Genomic DNA, 18,482 nt, shown 5'->3' with positions numbered 1-18,482 from the left:
AGCAAGCCACAAGGTGTGCACAACCTCGACTGCTACCTGCCTCCCTGATGTGGCTAGAATCAGAGTTTCTTATTTCACAAGCTTGGCATTGACAAAACATTTTGGAGGTGGACTTAATAAAGCCCCACGTTAACACTGACTGCCATTTGCCAACACAGCATTGAGTGAGTAAAAGAACAAATGAACAACTGAGTGAGTGAATGAATGAAATAGTTGAGATCACAAGCTCGGAAACTGGATTTTCCAGTAACTCAGTAACATACCTCCCCACCAACCCCGGTACAGCCTCAAGTCCCCCTTTTTCCTCATTCTGGATGGGGAAAGCAATATCACTGGTTGGCTGGCTCAGGGTCTTAGGTTTTGGTCCTGGCTCAAGCCCATAGGAACCATAAGAGAACCACATGCGGTCAGCATAAGATGGCTCTCTGAGGGCAGCTAGTGCTGGCATTTTCACCTGTTTTTAAGTCATGGAAGCCTCTGTTGAAAGAAAGAAAATCATATACAGAAATCTCAGTATTGCACAGATCGAAGCAGAGCTGCTCTGGCAAAGAGGCAGGGGATGCTCACTCCTCCTCCATCCTCCCCAGCAGTCCCTGAGATTTCTCTGTGGGGCCCCAGCTTCCCTGGTACCCAGGGTGAAAATGCCTGATCCAGGACATGCCTCTTGCTTTACGCAGCTGGGGAAATGGAAGCCCAGAGCAAGGAACATACCCTGAATCATCACCAGGAGCAGTAATACCAGCACCAGAGCCCATGCATCCTTGCTCCCTGTCTTACCCTCATTTCAAACACTTTGCCAGTCACTGGTCAGCCAGGCCCATCAAGATGGGCATTTCCTCACTAGGACATGGTGCCCCCTGTCTCTTGGCCCTTGCACATGCTGTTCCCTCTGCCTGGATTGCCCCTCCTGTCAAACCCTCGGTCCCCTCTTGTTATCTATGGTGGAAAGATTCTAAGACAACCCCAGTAACCCCCAAATCCTGGTATTCACAGCCTGTGTAATGCCCCTTCCCCCTTGAGCATAAGCTAGCCTAACTTGCTTCTAAATAATAGAATACAGCAAAGGTGAGGACATATTGCTTCCATGATTACATTATATAAGATTATAACGTCCCTTGTGCCATCACTCTCTCGATGGCTTTGATGAAGTAAGCTGCCTTGTTGTGAGCTGACCAGAGACACCAACATGGCAAGAATCAAATCCTGCCAGCAATCATGTGAGCTTGGAAGTGGATCCTTCCCCAGTCAAGCCTTCTGATGAGACCCCAGCCCTGGCTGATACCTTCACTGAGGCCAGAGAGAGACCCTAAGGCAAAGGGCCCATCTAAGTTGTGCTCATGTTCCTGACCCAAAAAAACTGTGATATAATAAACGTGTGTTGTTTTAAGCTGCCAGATTTGTGACAATTTGTTATGCAGCTGATATGGTTTGGCTCTGTGTCCCATCCAAATCTCATGCTGAATTGTAATTCGCAATGCTGGGGGACGAACCTAACATTGGAAGGTGATTGGATCATGGGGGCAGATTTCCCCCCATGCTGTTCTCATGATAGTGAGTTCTCTCAAGATCTGATGGTTTAAGGGTGTGGCACTTCCCTCCTAGTTCTCACTCTCTCTCTCTCTCTCTCTCTCTCTCTCTCTCGCTGACACCATGTGAAGATTTGCTTGCTTCCCCTTCGCCTTCTGCCATGATTGTAAGTTCCCTGAGGCCTCCCAGCCATGCTTCCTATACAGCTTGTGGAACTGTAGGTCAATTAAACCTCTTTGTTTCATAAATTACCCAGTCTCAGGTAGTTCTTTATAGCAGTGTAAGATCAGACTAATAAAACAGCAATGGTAACTAAGACACTGCCCTAAGGCATTACTACTTGCCTTTGGAAATTCAGCTCAAAGTGCACTTCGTATGTGAAGCCCTCCCTGAAAAGTTAGGCTCTCCCCCTGCAACTATCACCATAACCATCCCCACCACCACCATTTCATCATCTTCATCATCCTCTTCATCACAACTAACATTTCCTGATGGTCCACTCTATACCAGGTACTTTGCTCAGGCTTTACATTTATTAGATTTAATCCTCACAACAGATGTATAAGAAAGGTACTGTTACTTCACCTCATTTTAATGAGAAAACTGAGGCACAAGCGATTTTAGAGTTACATGGATTAGAACCCAGACAGCCTGGGGTCTACTCCTTCTCACACTGCTTTTCAACACCACAGTTATAACTAGTTACTGACTTTTCCATCTCTCATTCTAGTCAGTGGGACCCTTGGAGATAGGAATTGCGACCTTCTTCTCAACACAATTTGAGTACCTACTATGTGCTAGGCATCCTGCTAGGCTCGGCCAAGGGTGGGAGGAAGAAACAGCACTGGACAGAGACAGACAAGTGCAAGGGCTTTGTTCTCGCAGAACTCCTCTTCTCATAGAGACAGAGAGAAATACAAAACAAGATCATCTCAGAGGCTGTCTTCTAAGAGCTAAAACAGGCAGTGGGAGCTACTTTAGATTTGGGCCATGGGAGAAAACAAAGTTTCTCTAGGTGGTGACGTTTTTGCTGAGATAGGAATGAAAGGAAGACAGCCGAGTAAAGATCTAGAGGAAGTCTGGGCGCGGTGGCTCACACCTGTAATCCTAGCACTGTGGTAGGCCAAGGTAGGAGGATCACTTGAGCCCAGGAGTTTGAGACCAGCCTGGGCAATATAGTGAGACCTCATCTCTACAAAAAAATGAAAAATTAGCCAGGTGTGGTGGTGTGCGCCTGTAGTCCCAGCTACTCAGGAGGCTGAGGTGGGAGGATGGCTTGAGCCCAGGAGGTCAAGGCTACAGTGAGCTGTGATCATGCCACTGCACTGCAGCCTGGGTGACAGAGTAAGACCTGTCTCAAAGAAAAATAAAAAACAAAAAATACAAAAAACAGAAAAGATCCAGAGGAAGAACATCTGGGCAAATGGGAAAGGAAGATCCTGAGGAAGCTCAAAGTGTTTCATCTTGTCACACCAAAGTGGCATACAGTGTTAGGCCTTCTGAGTAGAGGTATGGTCCCTGGACCAGCAGCATCGACATCACCCAAAAGCCTGTTAGAAAGGCAGACTCTCAACCCATCCCAGATCTACTAACAGGATCCGCATGTTAACAAGACAGCCTGGTGATCCTGTATGTACAAGAAAGTTTCAGAAACTCTAATTTACTCAAAAAATGCTTGTTGAATGAATAAACAAATGAATGCTCTGCAGATCAAGTTTCCAGTTCCAACTGTACCCCTTCCAGCACCCAGACAGCAGAGAAGGTGTCAATTTCACACCCCATAAAGCAGGCTGACTGACAGCTGTCACAGCAGGCAAAGAGACCACCAGCCCGCACCAGGATCAAATCACCCCACAGCTGCCCCACACCTACGTCGCCCAACCTCGGTCTCCTTCCACCTCGCACCACTTCCGTACGGCCTCACATGAAGCTTTAGATTCAATTACTAGTCCCCAAATGGCTATCAAACCCACACAACTTGGCTAAAAATACTCTTCACACTTGTTAGGCCTCCCCACCCTTAAATCACTTCGAGGAATCTGACAGCTGTAATTAGCAAAATATGTAAATCCAGTCTTTTCACAGAGAGGATGCCCTTCTAAGTTACACTGGCACAGCGCAAGTCGGAAAGGAGGAGGGCGATTATCTCATTTCTTCTTGCAAGACCTCAAAGGGACTGAAACTGGGTGATTCTAGCAACTTGAGCCAGGGCTTTTGTCACTTGAAGCTGACCTTTCTAACCATCTATAGCCAACACATGCTTACAAAAGCAAGCAGTCACGGGACATACGTTGAAAACCAGCCAACTTCCCTGCACACTACCTGGTGGAATGATGCTGTCAGCGTTTGGAGGCCCTCACCCTGGTGTGCCGATCTAAGAGGTGTCAGCTTGACCCCACACCTCCTTCTGGGTCTTAATGTGAAAATAGATTGAGGCAACATGCAGTTGCCTATTAATTTTTCCTGTCGAAAGTCTGCTGGGGAAATCGTCACATTTGTAAAATTGGAAACTGCTTTCCTTTCTTAATAGAGCCATCCCCAGTCTGGGAGGATATGCAAGTGAATCCCAACCCACACTTCAACATGACAGAGTAGGTCGCCTTTGAAATAGCCCAAAGCCTGAAAAGTGCTAAGAAATAAGCTGTAGTGTGTCTCAAGTACGGACCATCAGCACTCACCTTATTTTCCTCTTTATCCAGGCTATTAGAAAGAGGAAAAAAAAAATTACAGACGTGAGGATTTAGTGAAGTCCTAGGGGAAAGTTAAACTTTAGCCAGCCGGCTAACACAAAAGACGTGGACATCACTGAGTGAGAAGTTCAAAGCCTGCACCACCCTAGTATATATACTTACATAAAGTGGCCCAACGACATCTTCTTCCTCTTTTACCCCTTGAGCACCAGTGGAATAAGAAGGAGTTCGCTGTCCCTTTTTGCTCTTCACTGTGATTTCAGGTGAGGAAGTGTCTCTTAGCCAAACAGCACACTGACTTTTAAAATGCATTAGGACCCATATGGGCAAGACAGAGGTTTCCATTCCATCCAAGACCCCTTAGAATCATGGTTGGCAAACAAAGGCATGTGGGCCAAATCCTTCCCACTGCTTGTTTTTGTAAACAGTGTTATTGGGTGACAGCCACACTCATTTGTGTACTTATTGCCTATGGATGCTTTCACTCTACAACTGCACAACTGAAAAGTTGTGACAGACTGTATGGTCTGCAAAACCCAAAGTTTACTGCTTGGCTCTTTAAAAACAAAGTTTGCCAACCCCTGCCTTCGAGGAACAAGGCAAGGTTTTCAAAGCAGGACATTTTCCATTCTGCTCAGAGAAAGATCAAAATATTTGGCTGATGACTGAATATCCAGATGCTGATCTCTAACTTAAAGTAGTTTTGCCTTTATAACACAGGAGGTCAGACCACATGGGGGAAATGCCAGCTGACCCAGGAAACACTATCAGACAACAAAGAACCAAGCTACTCCTGCACTGGGGGTCGTAAGCTCTAGACTGGAAAGCCTAAAAAGAACGGTCGCCTCCAACCAGTGTTCTTCTGGACATCAACTCGGCACAGCCACAAGGGGTGCCTCTAGTTTTACCAACAGCCCAAAGAGGTCAGGTAGGTATCGATTCTGACTCCCGGTGCAATTTACAGCCAGCTGAGAAATAATGAGTGGCCTCTTTTCACCTGGGTGCCACCAGGCTTCTCCTCTAGCTGAAGTGAGTCATCGTTTCAAAACAGGGTCCATGTCTTCCAAATTAGTCATCTTTTTTTTGGAGATGAGGTCTCACTCTGTCGCCCAGGCTGGAATGCAATAGTGAGATCACAGCTCACTGCAGCCTCCACCTCCCAGGCTCAAGAGATTCTCCCACCTCAGCCTCCCGAGTAGCTGGGACTACAGGCACGCACCACCACACCTGACTAATTTTTGTTATTTTTTGAGTGGCGGGGCTCTCTCTATGTTGCTCAGAGCAGTCTCAAACTCCTGGGCTCAAGCAATCCTCCTGCCTCGGCCTTCCAACCAGCTTCAATAGGAAGTTTAGGCCTGTGCATCACGTGGTGCCTCCTACCAGAATTATTAATCTCCTTACATCGATTTCTTCCCTTCCTTTGTTTTCCCACACTGGACCTCTTAGGAGGTGGAACCCATAAATCACTTGTAATCTCTTTTGTTTGTTTGTTTTTTAAAGAAACTGACAACAGGACATAAAATCTGCAAAAATTAAGAAGAGGATGCTAAGACTACAGAAATATCCCTTAGAACAGTTCTTGCCCTCTTTCTCCCAACAATGGTCCCAATTAAGGCATTTTCTTTTATTCTATATATTTTGCCTGCCACAGAATTGCAATAACTCCAGACTCTCCACTGTGAGCAACTAGCCCAGCAGGATATGTAAAGGAGCATGTCGATCCATAATGAAGGAACTTTGCAGTTGACATGCCCACCACCTCACTCTGTCCACCTCATTTCTGCCACAGCTGTCCCCACTCCAGCCCATGCAGGACTGCACAGCCCCACTAAACATGGTGAATCTGCACACAGGAGGCTCCAGTTTTCACTTCTGGACGCTTTACCGCAATCATATTTTGACAAGCTGCATAGATTTCCCATCTCCCCACCTCATTTATCACCGTGGTTGGGATCTGTTTGGTTTAGAAAACCAACCATTCTATATGAAGGACCAGGTCAATTTATGATATTTGGAGTGGTATCCACAGAAATGAAAGAAGGCAGTGAGAAATTTTAGAATTTTGATGATAAGGAGCCTAGTTCACTTTGCTGAAAAGGCAACTTTGGTGTCTGAAAAATAATCCATTCTACTTGAAAGGTCTTGTCTTTTCAGATAGTCTTGGTTGCTTATCCCACAGTCCTCCTCCTTGGCTGACAGTTGCCTGCCTGCGTTCAGGGAGGCAAGGGGCCCTGCCCTAAGGAATGACACCTGAATGGCCCAAGCAAGACATAACACTTCCACTTTCCTTTGCCAAACTTTTCTTGCCTCTCCTGCAACTAGGAAAGGGCATGCAACCCAGCTATGGTCAATGAGATGCAAAGGGAAGATCATTAGGAGGGACCGGAAGAACCTGGAACAGAGTAAGCTCTCAATAAAGTTTAAACATTGTTAGTGTCGTTACCATGATTACTATTAATTTTAATAATAAATTTTCTTCCCTTTTCTCTCTCCCTTTCTTTTTCCCTGTCCTTCTAGTGGTGAGCTACGGCTGGATTGTACCAACTCACAAGAACTGACTGTGACCATCTCTTCCCAACACTGAGCTCACTCACATCACACTGGTAGCGTGAAATCAGCCATGATAGGAATATTTACACCCTGGAAATTGGCAAATGCTACAAATCAGAATTTTTCCCCAGAGATCTAATTGTTAACTGTTTACCAGCACATCACTTCTCCCTGCCTCCTTGCCTCCTTCCCTGCTTTCTAACCACACATCTTCCTATCATAAACCACTAAGCACCACCTACTGTGTGCCACCGTGCATTAGGTTAGGCTGTCCTTGACAGCCCAAAGGTGAATAAGACATGGCTCTGCCCTCAATGAGTTTACAGTCTGGCAACAAGCCTGCATCAATTAAGATACGTTTGGTTACAAGTAACAGAAGGCCCAGCCATCAGTGGTTGATTTCAGAAAGTCTGAAGGTGGGAGGTCAGCTTTGGCCACCCCACAGTCATCAAGGATCCCAACAGCTTCACCCCCTCATCCACCATTGTTTGCATATCAACTTTTCCCCTTCACACTCTTCATCATGTGTACAAGAGAGCTGCCACACTTCTGGGGATCAAGACTGTATTCAAAAACAAGAATCAGGGGCAAAAGTCCTTTTTTTTAATCCACAGAGAAAATAATTTAATTCTCATAATAAATTCACGAGATAGATACTACAACTATTCTCATTTTATAGCTATGGAAATTGAAACCCAAAAAAGATTAAAGAATTTGCCCAGGACCACACAGTTTGAGTAGCCAGAATATAAACCCAAGATTCTGACACCAGAGTGTGCTGGTGTCAGATACACTACTCGGAGATGCTGGCACTTGGAAGCAAAACCATGCAATGTATTACTCAGCTATGCCGTCTTGTGCTATTCTCTCATTTTTGCAGGTACTCACCACTTAGCCTAAGACTTCTTGTTCCTCAGGCATGGAAACCCCATTTGCTCATCTGCCTACACTCTGCTCCCTGCACCCACAGTCATGGGCACGGTACTGGATGCTCGCATTTGTTAACTGGCCGGGGAAGTACTCGCATGCACCCATCTTAGCTCTGAGACGACACAACCTGAACGGAAAATCTTGCGGCTCCTGGCGCCAGCAGGCCTGTGTTTGGCTCCTTCCTGTTCTAATTACCCACTTGAAAACCTGAAGACTTGGGCTCCAATCCACTTGGCAATCAGACCATCTCCTTGGCCCATCTGCCTGCAACTGCACACCTCCCTTTCTGGGGCTGCATTTCTTTCTCCTGTATCCAGTCCTCGGGAAGATCTTACGATTTGTACCTGTCTCAATTACTCCCCTATCACAGAAAATTCCAACCTTACTGGCACTGCACTATAAACTCGTATTCCTTCCTAGACTCAGCTAGAGAAAAACAACAGTATTTGCAAGAGTGGTCGAAGACCTGAGTGCTTTATTACTGATAATTTTTTAAATAGAAAAAGTGAGTTCTCCCCTTGGTTTCTGTCAGAATCAGAAATCCTGCACTGCAAAGACAGTCTTTGGAAATCTCAGTACCACTTCACTAGTACTTTGGAGGACACTGTTCTAAAAGGCACAGCCTGGGACCATACTTGTCACAGCAAGTTTGGGCTCATGCCCTGAGCATGTACCAACCGCCCAAGGGTACACACGTGGCTGGTCCTATCCCCACTTCTCTTTTGTTTCTGGACTTGTTTTGCTTTGTTTTGGTTTTGTCCAGTGGGGAAAAGAGGAAGTTAGATCAAAGCAGCTGCAGGAACCTATCAGGAAGTAGCCTGACAAGAAAACTTTTCTCCATCCTGGAAAAAAAAATCGCCAGGTGCTGCAATGGCCCTTTCTGAGACTGCATGCCCTTCTGTGTCAACTTTTTCAATTCCCTTTTCCATCCATATTGAAGCAAAACCCAGAGCTTTCTAAATAGGCAGTCTGAGTTGCTCAGACTATCCCTTATTATGCTAGCTAAGAAAAACTTAAAAGGGAAATTTAAATCTTTTTTTTTTTTTTTTTTGAGACAGGGTCTGTCACCCAAGGTGGGATGCAATGGCAAGATCATAGCTCACTGCAACCTTGAGCTCCTGGGCTCAAGCGATTCTCCTGCCTCAGCCTCCCATGTAGCTGGGACTACAGGCATGCACCACCATGCTTGGCTAATTTTTTTTTTTTGTAGAGATGGGGTCTTGTTATGTTGACCAGGCTGGTCTCAAACTCCTGACCTCAGGTGATCCTCCTACCTAAGCCTCCCAAAGTGCTGGGATTATAGGTATGAGCCACTCTACCCAACCCAGGAAAGTTAAATCTTTTGCAAGCCTTGATCAATCAGAAATAAAAAGAAAAAAAAATGGATCACTTATGATTCAACAATGTTGGCTCCTCATCTGTTATGGACTGAATGCGTGTGTCGAAATCCCCAATGTGCTGGTATTAGAAGGTGGAGCCTGTGGGAGGTAATTAGGTAATGAGGGTAGAGCCCTCATAAGTGGGATTGATGCCTTTATAAAACAGACCCTAGAGGATGGGCACGGAGACTGAGATGGGAGGATCACCTGAGCCCGGAAGGTGGAGGTTGCAGTGAGCTGAGATCATACCATTGCATTCTAGCCTGGGTGACAAAGTGAGATGCTGCTTTTAAAAAAAGAGAGACAGAGAGCAAGAGAGAGAGAGACCCTAGAGAGTTCTCCAGCCATCCTCAACCATGTGAGGCTATGGTGAGAAGTTAGCCATCTGCAAACCCAGAAGAGAGCCTCACTAACAACCAACTAGCTGCCACCTGGATCCCAGAGTTTCAGCTTCCAGACTGTGAAAAACAAGTTTCTATTGTTTATAAGAAACGTGCCTTTGTTTGTTACAGCAGCCTGAGCTGACCAAGGCATCATCTTTATGGAACCTGGTACAGTGATAGTAAGATTAAGTAGCTCAATATCATTTGTTCTATATTTAAGCCAAGGCTTCTAGATATTCCATCAATCAGCCAAGCATGTGCCCACCTGAGAGACAAGGACTGTTATTTTCAAAAACCTGACCAAGAACAATTTATTTTCCTCCATCAGAACACAGTCCACATCCATTCTCCTGGACAGGCTCCACAAGGGAAGGCCGAAATGATTGATCAAGTCCATGGGTCACAACACCTGATGTCAATAAAGCCCAACATGTGGCCAGCTCTGCAGAAGCCCTGAGGCAGCTCATGGGGCTGGGCCCTGCCCTCCCCACCCTCAAACGGGCCATTCCCTGATGGTCCTTAAACCTCTGAGTGTGGAGGAACATGACAGAGAATTTAAGAAGGCAATGAATGGATTGATTTTTTTGCTTTTCAATTTGTAACGAAATTCACCTTGGGTCTTTGTCTCCCTTTTACTCTGCAGGGTAATAATAGGGCTGCTCAGACAGGATTTGTGCCTGGCTCCAGGGGATTCTTGCCATCCACAGGGACAAGCCCAACAAAAAGGAATGCTGGCCATTCCTGCATGCCTCCCTCTTCTCAGAACAAGGACGCTGCCCTGTGGACCTAATAAACCCACCCATTTTTCAGCTGCAGGACAAAACAATGGCATACTTCGAAACGACATAATTGCTGTGGCAAGGCCAACATCCACCCTATATAAATTTACTGCAGTAATTCAGAGGGAAGCGAAAATGACTTTAGTATTATTTTGAAAAATCAAAAAGAAAGCACCAAATCCATTATCTCCGGGGTGGGGGGACTGTGACCCCCAGGGCACATCATTGACTGCTCAAATTTCTGATTTCTTTTTTTTTTTTTTTTTAGACCAAGTCTCCCTCTGTCACCCAGGCTGGAGTGCAGTGGCACGATCTCAGCTCACTGCAACCTCCGCCTCCCAGGTTCAACTGATTCTCCTGCATCAGCCTCCTGAGTAGCTGGAATGACAGGTGTCTGCCATGACACCCAGCTAATTTTTGTATTTTTAGTAGAGACACAGTTTCACCATGTTGGCCAGGCTGGTCTCGAACTCCTGGCCTCAGGTGATCCCCCCGCCAAAGTGCTGGGATTACAGGTGTAAGCCACCGTGCCCGGCCCAAATTTCTGATTTCTACAATGGCAAAATACATTTTCTCCCTTATCCTCCTCTCTCCCTATCAATCCACCAATTTTTTAATTTTGACATGGGATACAGTCTCCATAGTTTACATTTTCTCAGTTATCCTTAACTATGCTCATTATTTTCTAAGAAATTAGCCTAGACAGTATAGTTGACCAATACTTTCTTTAGAGCCAGAAGGTTCTCATCAAAAATTCTATGTATGAGCGTTAATTAGTTCTTTTCAGGTCTTTCTTTCTTTCTTTCTTTCTTTCTTTCTTTCTTTCTTTCTTTTTTTTTTTTTTTTAACAGACAGGGTCTCTCTCTGTTGCCCAGGCTGGAGTGCAGTGATTCAACCATAGCTCACTGCAGCCTCAAACTCCTGGGCTCCAGCCATCCTCCCGCCTCAGCCTCCCGAGTAGCCAGGACTACAGGTGTATGCCACCAGGCTCGGCTAATTTTTTAAAATTTTTTGCATAGATGGGGATCTTGCTATGTTGCCCAGGCTAGTCTTGAATTCCTAGGATCCTCCCGCCTTGGCCTCCCGAGTAGCTGGGACTATAGGTGCATACCTCCATGCCCTGCTTCAGATACATCTTTAGCAGTGCCCCAAAAAAGTAAAGGGAAAAATATAATAATCAGCTCCTTGACTGGAAGGAATCTGTTAGTTACCGGGGCAGGGGAGATGGGTAAGGGAAGAGGCAGGAAGAGGTGAAAAAAAGTATACAGTGACTTCAGTGACTGTCGTCAGGTCTCATGATGCCACTGATAGATAAAGTACATCAGGCAGGATCCAACCAAATGCATTAATTTCCCTCAACTTATACTCCTGGACTCCTGTAAGACTCTGAGCCGAGTCCAGGGACGAGAAGGATGGGAAGGGGTTGGGGGAAAACACCACATTTCTCTGCAAAACAGTTTAAAAGCATAAAAAGCTAGAAGAGACCACTAGTCTCCTCCCCTATCAGGAGCAAATGGAAACACAAAATATGACATGTTGCCAAAAATGCCTGTCCTGCTAATGTAAAAACTAAGCCTGGAAAAATACTGCATGACACAGTTTGGATGGTTTGTCCCCTCCAAATCTCATGTTGAAATGTGACGTCTAATGTTGGGCGTGGGCCTAGGGGGAGGTGTTTGCGTCATGGAGGCTGATACCTCAAGAATGGCTTGGTGCTATCCTCTTGGTAATGAGTGAGTTCTCACACTGTGAGTTTACATGGGATCTGGTTGTTTAAAAGACCCTGGCACCTCCTCCCCCTCTCTCTTGCTCACTCTCTCACCATGTGACACCCCGGCTCCCCTTCACCTTCTGCCATGACTGGAAGCTTCCTGAGGCCTCACCTGAAGCTCAGCAGATGCTGGTGCCATGCTTGTACAGCCTGCAGAACTGTAAGCCAATCAAACTTCTTTCCTCTATAAATTGCCCAGCCTCAGGTATCCCTTTATAGCAACACAAATGGACTAACACACTGGTTGCCACTGTCCCCTGTCAACACCCCTTCGGCATGAGGATGGTTCAGAGATTTAATTTAATCATCAACTACTCTTTAGGGTAACAACCCTTGGGGGTCCTAAAATGTCCTAAATGGGAACTTACATCTCCCTTTACCACCTTCACTGCCACTGGATCTAAAGGGTTAATGTTTTGAAGAGGTAACGAAGCCACATGGTATGAAAACCAAAAGGCACTAAAAGGTTTATACAGTGAAAAATAGGTCTTCCCCACTATCCCCACTCTACCCAGGCAACAACTGTCTACTCATTAGTATTTCTAAAACACACACTATGTGCTGGACACTGGGGCTCCAGGTCCTAGACTATTTTGCATAATCACTGATACCAGTTTCATGTGTGTCTCTCCCAAAATACCCTGTGCTTTTTACATTGTTATGAAATTGGATCACACAGTATTTGTCCTTCTGTGTCTGGCTGATTTCACTTAGTATCATGTCTTCAAGGTTCACCCATGTTGTAGCATGTGTCAAAATTTTCTTTCATTTTAAGCCTGAATGAATAGCTGTCCATTGTATGTTTATATTACATTTGGTTTATCCATTCATCCCTCGATGGACACGTGAGTTGTTTTCACCTTTTGGCTATTGTGAATAATGCCGCTATGAACATAGCTGTACAAATATCCATTCAAGTCCCTGCTTTCAGTTCTTTTGGGTATATATCCAAGAAGTAGAATTCTGGACCACATGATAATTCTACGTTTAATTTTTGGGGGAACTGCCATACCATTTCCCACAGTGGCTAAATTGGATTATTTCTAAAATGTTAGCATATCCTCCACAATGTTCAACACTACATTTAGAAGCATGCCTCACTCTTCTCAATTGAGGAAAGATGAAGTTAGTTGCTTATCATAACTTGGTCCTACACATCCAAGATGTTAAAAATGAAATAGTGGACATGAAAGTTGCTAGAAAGTAAAATGCAGGGGTATTATCATTCAGTTATTACCTCTGGTATAGCAACTGGTAGCTGACAGTCTTTCTGAGACGGAGTCTCGCTCTGTCTCTCAGGCTGGAGTGCAGTGGCGCAATCTCAGCTCACTGCAACCTCCGCCTCCTGGGTTCAAGCAATTTTCCCTGTCTCAGCCTCCCGAGTATCTGGGATTACAGGCACCTGCCTCCGTGCCTAACTAATAACCATCTTTACTCCTAAGACACTTCTTTCCCCTCCAGATTAGCTGACCTGAAGTTATTTGCACTGCCCTTTTTCTCATTTGTTTTCCCAATTTCCCCATGAGATGGAGCAAAGCAAGAGAGTCTCTAAAATTCAGACAAATTCATTCAAAGTAAATATCCTATGCCCAACAGGGGGATTTGAAAGAAAGAGGTGATGCCAAAACTCTATTTCAGAATATCCACTAGCCCACCACAGACATTTAAAAAATGTTAAGAGTACTTGCTTCCTAAATACTCAGGCAAGGAAGCTAAAGGAATTAAAAAGAAAACACCATCGTTATTTTGTTATAGTGAAAAGAAAAAGCTGCACCGAGATGACTATACAAACCGAACACAGACCACGTTTCATGAAAAGGGTCTTGCAGGCTCTGAGAAGAAATACCCCCAAAAGGGATGTCAAGCCAGACTGTCATTTAAGATGTCAACTTCACTGACACGAGATGAATCACTTTGTAGGTTTACATCACTCTGTGGAGGTCACCTCAAGGATTTTTGCATCTCCAGAGCAAAGCCAAAGACTCTCAATTAATCACAAAAGAAGCACAGCGTGATCAGGGCACATGAAAGCTTTTAAAATGTGTGTGTGTGTGTGTGTGTGTGTGTGTGAGAGAGAGAGAGAGAGGGAGAGATTCTGCAGAATACAAACATACGAGTCATGTTCTGATCCTTATTCTTACAAGCTAGTGTGTTGGATACCTCAGGGACGCTGGGTCATCTCCTCTAAGAGTCATTTGAAAAGTTCTGCCACTGGCTCTTTGCTTTTGCTATCAAAACACTAGCGATGAAAAAGCATTTTCTGACCTGACCCCAACCTTAACTCAAGAAGCAAAATCTTAGAGGGGAAGCTCCATTTCTACCTCACCCCTTCACTTCAATCCACACACGATCAGGTAAGACCACGAAATAAACATGAGCTGTTTTAGGGCATCAAAATGCTCCCTGGCTCACCCTGGGCCGTCTGGAGGCTTTGCCTCCAGCCCTCATTAATTTTGTAATTAGAGAGATTGGAGCCGTGGCTTTCCCAGACTGAACCCTGCGGTTTCACCCATCTGCAGGTTTCCCTGGTGGTCCTTGACATGTAATCAATCGTTCTGATTCTGCTGAGGCACCAATCTAAGACAAGATCACCCAGGTGAGGGTGGAGGAGTACAGGAGAGGGGCCTCAGGTCACTGGGGATGTGCCCTTGTGGCCCAATAGCTCGAGGTTCCTGTCTCTTGCACACATACACACTCTTTCTGACTTTCAGTCTTCCTTTACAAAAAATATGGCTCTCCCCAAAAAGTGGCCTGCCAGAGCTATTGATTAAAGTGAAGATAAGATTAACAAGTCTAGAATTGATGGTTCTTAGCTAAAAATAATGACTTTTCCTAAATCTGAGACACTACCTGTATTCTTTTTTATGGCTCCCAAATTACAATTTTAAAAATTTTAAATATATATCAATTTTAAAGTAGGCTTTATTCATTCATTTTATTTATGACTTTTTGTCCTGTACAATCAGCCTCCATATTCATGAGTTCCACATTCATGGGTTCCACACTCATGGGTTCAACCAACCTCAGATGGAAAATATTCAGAAAAAAATTCCATAAAGTTCCAAAAAGCAAAACTTGAATTTGCTGCACAACCAGTGCTACACTGAGTCACACAAACGAAGTGATGTATAGGCACTGTATTAAGTATTTTAAGTAATCTAGAGAGTAAAGTATATGGGAGGAGGCACATAGGTTATATGCAAATAAATACTAAGACACCTTTTTAGGGCTGGGTGTGGTGGCTCACACTTGTAATCCCAGCACTTTGGGAGGCTGAGGTGGGAGGACTGCTTGAGCTCACGAGTTCGAGACCAGCCTGGGCAACACAGTGAGACCCTATCTCTAAAGAAAAGAAAAAACAAATACTACTACATTATTTTATATAAGGGACTTGAGCATTGTAGATTTTAGCATCCATAGGAGGTTCTGGAACCAATCCCCCAAGGATACCAAAGGACGACTGTATTTAGATAACTATTAAAAGTCTGAAAAGATAACCAAAGTCTTTCAGTGTATGCTTTACTATGAATTATGCCATTGTGGCTGACAATTTTGGGGGTGTGAGCTGCATCCCTCCTCAGTGCCAAGGGTCCTAACGTGTCCTGGCTTTCTCAGTCCCTTCTACAATTTAGCTCCTCCATCTTTCTTACAAGCATGTTATAATCCCACTGTTCAGCCATCCCACTTTCAGGAAACAATCCCTATTTTAAATATTTCATCGTATCCCCATACAGACACTTGCAATTTTTCATCCATGTCCCCATACTTTTAATTCAGGAAATACAGCAGTTGTATTTGTAATAAATGCTAAAAAATAACAAAAACAAACACTAACTACTAGGTGTGGTGCATTATCTTATTAAAGCCTCCAGGGAGGTACCAATATTATTATTATCCCCATTTTTCAGATGCAGAGACAGAGAAGTGAAGTAACCTGCCCAAGGTCACACAGCAGGCAAGTGCTGGAACCAGGAATAAACAATATGGCTGTGGTGCTCCAAAGTCTGGACTCTGTGCTATCACAGGAAAAAAGTGAAGAGTCGCGTTATCAAGCTGCTTGTGGGTAGAGGGAAGAACGGTTAGCAGATATATAGATAACTTTTTGCTTTCAAAATCCTATTGCCCAGCTCTGCAATTTGCCAGCTGTGTAACCTTGGGCAACACTTCTCTGGGCACGACAACTCTCTTGGCCTCAGTGTCTTCATCTGTAAAATGAGGATAATAAGTGTGACTGCTTTATAGGATTGTCGTGTGGATTCAATGAGTTGGCATATGTTGAATGCAGACACCGTGTCTGAAATACAAGAAGTGCTATGTAAGTGTGAGCTTTCATTGTTATTACTGCTTGGAACTTCTAGGCCTCAATTACTCAAAAATCAACACTTCTCAAAATAAAGATAGTAAATTTCTGTTTCTCACTGCCAGATGTTATAATGCTGAATTAGAATATGCACTGGCAATTGGGGGAACTGATCTGAAATGTCAAGTAATTTGGCCAATTAACCTATATTGTTTACACAAATAAGCCTTGGCTTTTTCCATGAAGGAGGTTACAATCTGGTGGAGGAAAGAAATGAAGTGGATTTTAATAGGATGTGGGCTACAGAAAATGTTGAAAAAAGGTATGGATGGGCAAAGTTCAAAAAATATATATTCTCTTTAACATTCTCCATAACTTTAGGCTGCGTATAATGACTCTCTCCCAAAGAATACAGTAGGGGAAGAGTGGGAAAGAGCAATTTTACCTCGGAAAAACTCAACGAACACTACTTAGCCAAGAGACGAAGGTCAACATCAACAGTGATAACTCATGTTGAGAGGGTGATGCACCCTTGATAGGATGAGATGAGAACAGATCCTTACCTCTCTGATCTTTCTCCTGAAATTCCCAAACCTCAGTCAATTCATGAGAAAAACATGAGAAAAATCCCAATTGAGGAATGTCCTACAAAACACTTGACCAACATGCCTCAAAATGGGCAAGATCACCGAAATAAGGAATGTCTGAGAAACTGCCACAGCCACATGCCTATGAAGACATGACAACTAAACATAATGTGATCTCTTGCATGGAATTCTGGAATAAGAAAAGAACATTAGGTAACAACTAAGAAAATCTGAGTAAAATATGGTCATCAGTTAATAATAATGTATCAATATCCGTTCATTAGTCATGACAAATGTACCATACTAATGTAAGATGTTAACAACACTGGGTGGCTAATGCCTGGAATCCCGGCACTGTGGGAGGCTGAGGTGGGAGGATCGCTTGAGCTCACGAGTTCAAAAGCAGCCTAGGCAACAGAGCAAGACCTCATCTCTACCAAGAAGTAAAAAGTTAGCCGGGCATGGTGGTACGCACCTGTGGTCCCGGTCATTCAGGAGGCTGAGGTGTGAGGATCACCAGAGCCCGGGAATTTGAGGCTGTAGTGAGCCATGATGGCATCACTGCACTCCAGCCTAGGGAACAGAGTGAGACCCTGTCTCCAAAAAAAAAAAAAAAAAAAGCAGGGAGGTACTGGGAGGAGCAGATGAAAACTATATTATCTGTATTATTTTCACAACTTTTCTCGAATTTTAAACCTATTCCAAATTAAAAATACATTAAAAGGGTTTTTAAAAATTCTATTGAACTTAACCAGTCAGGGCATAAATCCATCTCCAGTGTTCTAATGTTCTTGTGAGTGGTGTGGGTTGGTGAAGTTAAGTAACTTGCCTGTGATTCCACTGATAAGAAGCAGGGCCAAGATTCCAACCCAAGTCATTGGACCTCAGAGCCCACCCTGTTAACTGCTTGGCCCCACTACCCCCCTAATGTCGTGGAAAGCCACATGCTGGGTATCTCAAGGTCAATGCTAATTCAATGCTGGGCACCTGCCTGGTCAGCTGTTTCTATGGATAGCACCAGCCCACCATCTTAGGTTCTGCTGTTTTAGGTCTTCTGTATCTTAGAACCATAATCCCAATCCAAGATGACAACTCCCCAAGTTGGTGGATGATTGAAGCCTGTTATTTGAGCTCTTCACTTTCCATCTCATTCCAGAGTGACATGATAATGGAAACCTTGAGCTGGTATATTTTCAGCAACTACCCCTTTTTGTTCCACACACCTGCGTGCAATGTGGTGTGTAACCAGAGGGCAGCCATGCACATGCCTGAACCTGACAGTGAAGAAATTGTTTCCTAACAGCTTCTAGAATGCTTCCCCTGGGAGCTAAAGTTATTAGGACTGCTGCCTCTGACTCAAACTGAATTTTTCAGAGATCAAGGATCTTAAGGTACAGATGGTAGTGCTGCACAACTATCCCTTCAGCCATCAAACATGTTCCAGGCACAGAGAAGCCGGCCTGGAGGAATAGAAAGATGAACTGGACAGGGAGGCTCTTTCAAAGGAACATACAACCACCAGGGGAGATGGGACATAAACATCACTGTCATCACAGTAATAACCACCATCTTCTATCTGCCTCGCT

At 44.4% G+C, this 18,482-nt stretch overlaps 1 protein-coding gene across 4 annotated transcripts in view, besides 1 other annotated feature; it reads right to left on the bottom strand.

Annotated features, from left to right (window-relative positions):
• Nucleotides 1–18,482, bottom strand: part of CHST11 (carbohydrate sulfotransferase 11) — a 305,067-nt gene that overhangs the window by 206,805 nt on the left and 79,780 nt on the right. The window lies entirely within an intron of this gene.
• Nucleotides 3,372–3,431: an enhancer, noted in NCBI's record as "active region_6922". NCBI's record gives its function as "activates an Ori minimal core promoter by ATAC-STARR-seq in GM12878 lymphoblastoid cells {active_cell/tissue: GM12878}" and the evidence as "EXISTENCE:reporter gene assay evidence [ECO:0000049][PMID:35858748]".

Source organism: Homo sapiens, chromosome 12 (genome assembly GCF_000001405.40).
Source record: "Homo sapiens chromosome 12, GRCh38.p14 Primary Assembly".
NCBI classification, from domain to species: domain Eukaryota; kingdom Metazoa; phylum Chordata; class Mammalia; order Primates; family Hominidae; genus Homo; species Homo sapiens.
The sequence above is the reverse complement of the archived record's forward strand: the minus strand, read 5'-3'. Positions and strand labels throughout refer to the sequence as shown.